This window comes from Homo sapiens, chromosome X (genome assembly GCF_000001405.40).
Source record: "Homo sapiens chromosome X, GRCh38.p14 Primary Assembly".
In the NCBI taxonomy this organism is placed as follows: Eukaryota; Metazoa; Chordata; class Mammalia; order Primates; family Hominidae; genus Homo; species Homo sapiens.
In genome coordinates, this window is record NC_000023.11 from 51,743,033 (window position 1) to 51,746,693 (window position 3,661).

Consider the following 3,661-nt stretch of genomic DNA (forward strand, 5'->3'; position numbering starts at 1 on the left):
AGTCCCTCCCTACCCATTCCTTGCCTCTCCCTTCAGTTGCTGGGTTTCTGAATTTCTGTATAGTTAACCCTTATCTTGCCTCCCATTTGTTCAATAGAAATGATCACTTTTACTTGAATCTTTTGGTAGAATTGTATACCATGTGTTCCTGTCTAGGTTTAATCATCAGATTGTGGTCAAATTGCTCTGCCAGACTGTGTGAACAAAAAAGTGAATGGAAATTTTCGTTTTAAAAAATAATACTTTTGGACTTAGCCCGTGGCTAAGAAGAAGTAAGGAAGCCAAGCGTACGGATAGCAGCGAGGGGTCAATCCACGCCCGGCGTTGGGTCGGGGGTGGAGGAGTCGGAAGTGGTTGGGGTTTGGGGGAGGAGATCCGCTCACACACAAGAGGAGAGTGTTGAGCCGCCATATCTGCTGCTGCCGCCGCAGTTGCGAATGCAGCATCGGCGCTTAGCTGCCTCCGCGGTGCAGCTAAGGTTCGTGTCGCTACCCCTTGGCCCTTCGCTCTTGCTGCCTTAACCCCGCCGGCGGAGCCCGCTCTTCTGGCCTGTTGAGCCCGCTCCCTCACTGCCACACAGCAAGTTCCGAGACCATGGATTCGGGCAGCAGCAGCAGCGACTCGGCGCCCGATTGCTGGGACCAGGTGGACATGGAATCCCCGGGGTCGGCCCCGAGCGGGGATGGAGTCTCCTCTGCGGTGGCCGAGGCCCAGCGCGAGCCCCTCAGCTCGGCTTTCAGCCGTAAGCTCAACGTCAACGCCAAGCCCTTCGTGCCTAACGTACACGCCGCGGAGTTCGTGCCGTCCTTCCTGCGGGGCCCGACTCAGCCGCCCACCCTCCCGGCCGGCTCCGGCAGCAACGATGAAACCTGCACCGGCGCGGGATACCCTCAAGGTAAAAGGATGGGACGGGGGGCACCTGTGGAACCTTCCCGAGAGGAACCGTTAGTGTCGCTTGAAGGTTCCAATTCAGCCGTTACCATGGAACTTTCAGAACCTGTTGTAGAAAATGGAGAGGTGGAAATGGCCCTAGAAGAATCATGGGAGCACAGTAAAGAAGTAAGTGAAGCCGAGCCTGGGGGTGGTTCCTCGGGAGATTCAGGGCCCCCAGAAGAAAGTGGCCAGGAAATGATGGAGGAAAAAGAGGAAATAAGAAAATCCAAATCTGTGATCGTACCCTCAGGTGCACCTAAGAAAGAACACGTAAATGTAGTATTCATTGGCCATGTAGACGCTGGCAAGTCAACCATCGGAGGACAGATAATGTTTTTGACTGGAATGGTTGACAAAAGAACACTGGAGAAATATGAAAGAGAAGCTAAGGAAAAAAACAGAGAAACCTGGTATTTGTCCTGGGCCTTAGATACAAATCAGGAGGAACGAGACAAGGGTAAAACAGTCGAAGTGGGTCGTGCCTATTTTGAAACAGAAAGGAAACATTTCACAATTTTAGATGCCCCTGGCCACAAGAGTTTTGTCCCAAATATGATTGGTGGTGCTTCTCAAGCTGATTTGGCTGTGCTGGTCATCTCTGCCAGGAAAGGAGAGTTTGAAACTGGATTTGAAAAAGGTGGACAGACAAGAGAACATGCGATGTTGGCAAAAACGGCAGGGGTAAAACATTTAATAGTGCTTATTAATAAGATGGATGATCCCACAGTAAATTGGAGCATCGAGAGATATGAAGAATGTAAAGAAAAACTGGTGCCCTTTTTGAAAAAAGTAGGCTTCAGTCCAAAAAAGGACATTCACTTTATGCCCTGCTCAGGACTGACCGGAGCAAATATTAAAGAGCAGTCAGATTTCTGCCCTTGGTACACTGGATTACCATTTATTCCGTATTTGGATAACTTGCCAAACTTCAACAGATCAATTGATGGACCAATAAGACTGCCAATTGTGGATAAGTACAAAGATATGGGCACTGTGGTCCTGGGAAAGCTGGAATCCGGGTCCATTTTTAAAGGCCAGCAGCTCGTGATGATGCCAAACAAGCACAATGTAGAAGTTCTTGGAATACTTTCTGATGATACTGAAACTGATTTTGTAGCCCCAGGTGAAAACCTCAAAATCAGACTGAAGGGAATTGAAGAAGAAGAGATTCTTCCAGGATTCATACTTTGTGATCCTAGTAACCTCTGCCATTCTGGACGCACGTTTGATGTTCAGATAGTGATTATTGAGCACAAATCCATCATCTGCCCAGGTTATAATGCGGTGCTGCACATTCATACTTGTATTGAGGAAGTTGAGATAACAGCGTTAATCTCCTTGGTAGACAAAAAATCAGGAGAAAAAAGTAAGACACGACCCCGCTTCGTGAAACAAGATCAAGTATGCATTGCTCGTTTAAGGACAGCAGGAACCATCTGCCTCGAGACGTTCAAAGATTTTCCTCAGATGGGTCGTTTTACTTTAAGAGATGAGGGTAAGACCATTGCAATTGGAAAAGTTCTGAAATTGGTCCCAGAGAAGGACTAAGCAATTTTCTTGATGCCTCTGCAAGATACTGTGAGGAGAATTGACAGCAAAAGTTCACCACCTACTCTTATTTACTGCCCATTGATTGACTTTTCTTCATATTTTGCAAAGAGAAATTTCACAGCAAAAATTCATGTTTTGTCAGCTTTCTCATGTTGAGATCTGTTATGTCACTGATGAATTTACCCTCAAGTTTCCTTCCTCTGTACCACTCTGCTTCCTTGGACAATATCAGTAATAGCTTTGTAAGTGATGTGGACGTAATTGCCTACAGTAATGAAAAATTAATGTACTTTAATTTTTCATTTTCTTTTAGGATATTTAGACCACCCTTGTTCCACGCAAACCAGAGTGTGTCAGTGTTTGTGTGTGTGTTAAAATGATAACTAACATGTGAATAAAATACTCCATTTGAAACTCTTCGGTTATTTGAAATGCTTTTGAATAATGTTTAAATGTCATTATGTAATGCTATTCAATTAGCTTTATTACTTTCTCAAATAGTTGAATATGTTCTATCACTTAAAAACTTAAAAACTCTTCACCACTTACTGTTTTAAGTGAGGAATTTACAAACAATGCATAAGTGTGTATTAAAGGAATAATTTTAATTTTGAGAAAAAAACGTATGTTAAGGCTCTTCCCAGTGGGCTTTGTTTTCTCTGTCCAAGTCCAGTCAATAAAGGAGCTCTTCTGCTTCCCCACTTGTGATTTGAAAATGAAAGGCTCAGGCCGTCTTTATTTGTATAGCAGTAGTTCATGTAACATTATCCATAGGTTCTTGAAGACTACAACATTAAGCAAAACAATGTACAGCAGGTGTACATCGTACAACAATGCACAATGTATGACATTGTTCAATGTTGTTATGACATTGTTCAATGTTGTTATGACATTGTTCAATGTTGTTATGACCTTGTTCAATGTTGTTTAGTTATGACATTGTTCAATGTTGTTTAGTTATGACATTGTTCAATGTTGTTTAGTTATGACATTGATAAGGGGAAAAATTCATTTTGTTAGATGTTATTTCACTTGAAGTCACAATTTCCAAGAACCAGTGGACTATGTTAAGTGAGGACTTACTGTATTCCATCAGGTCCCATCACGTTAAGCATGGCCAAATTATAGGAGATTTGGACCATAGGTTTACAAGACTCTTTATTTTTTTAAAAGACAG

The 3,661-nt window shown here is 43.5% G+C and overlaps 1 protein-coding gene across 1 annotated transcript; it reads left to right on the forward strand.

The window, feature by feature from the left end:
- Positions 410 to 3,200, forward strand: GSPT2 (G1 to S phase transition 2). The gene has a single exon (NM_018094.5). It carries the CDS (start codon positions 595 to 597, stop codon positions 2,479 to 2,481), a length of 1,887 nt encoding a protein of 628 aa, NP_060564.2. The 5' UTR covers positions 410 to 594; the 3' UTR covers positions 2,482 to 3,200.

Coding starts and splice junctions, on each gene's coding strand:
- GSPT2 (NM_018094.5), top strand. CDS start 595: ATGGATTCGGGCAGCAGCAGCAGCGACTCGGCGCCCGATTGCTGGGAC.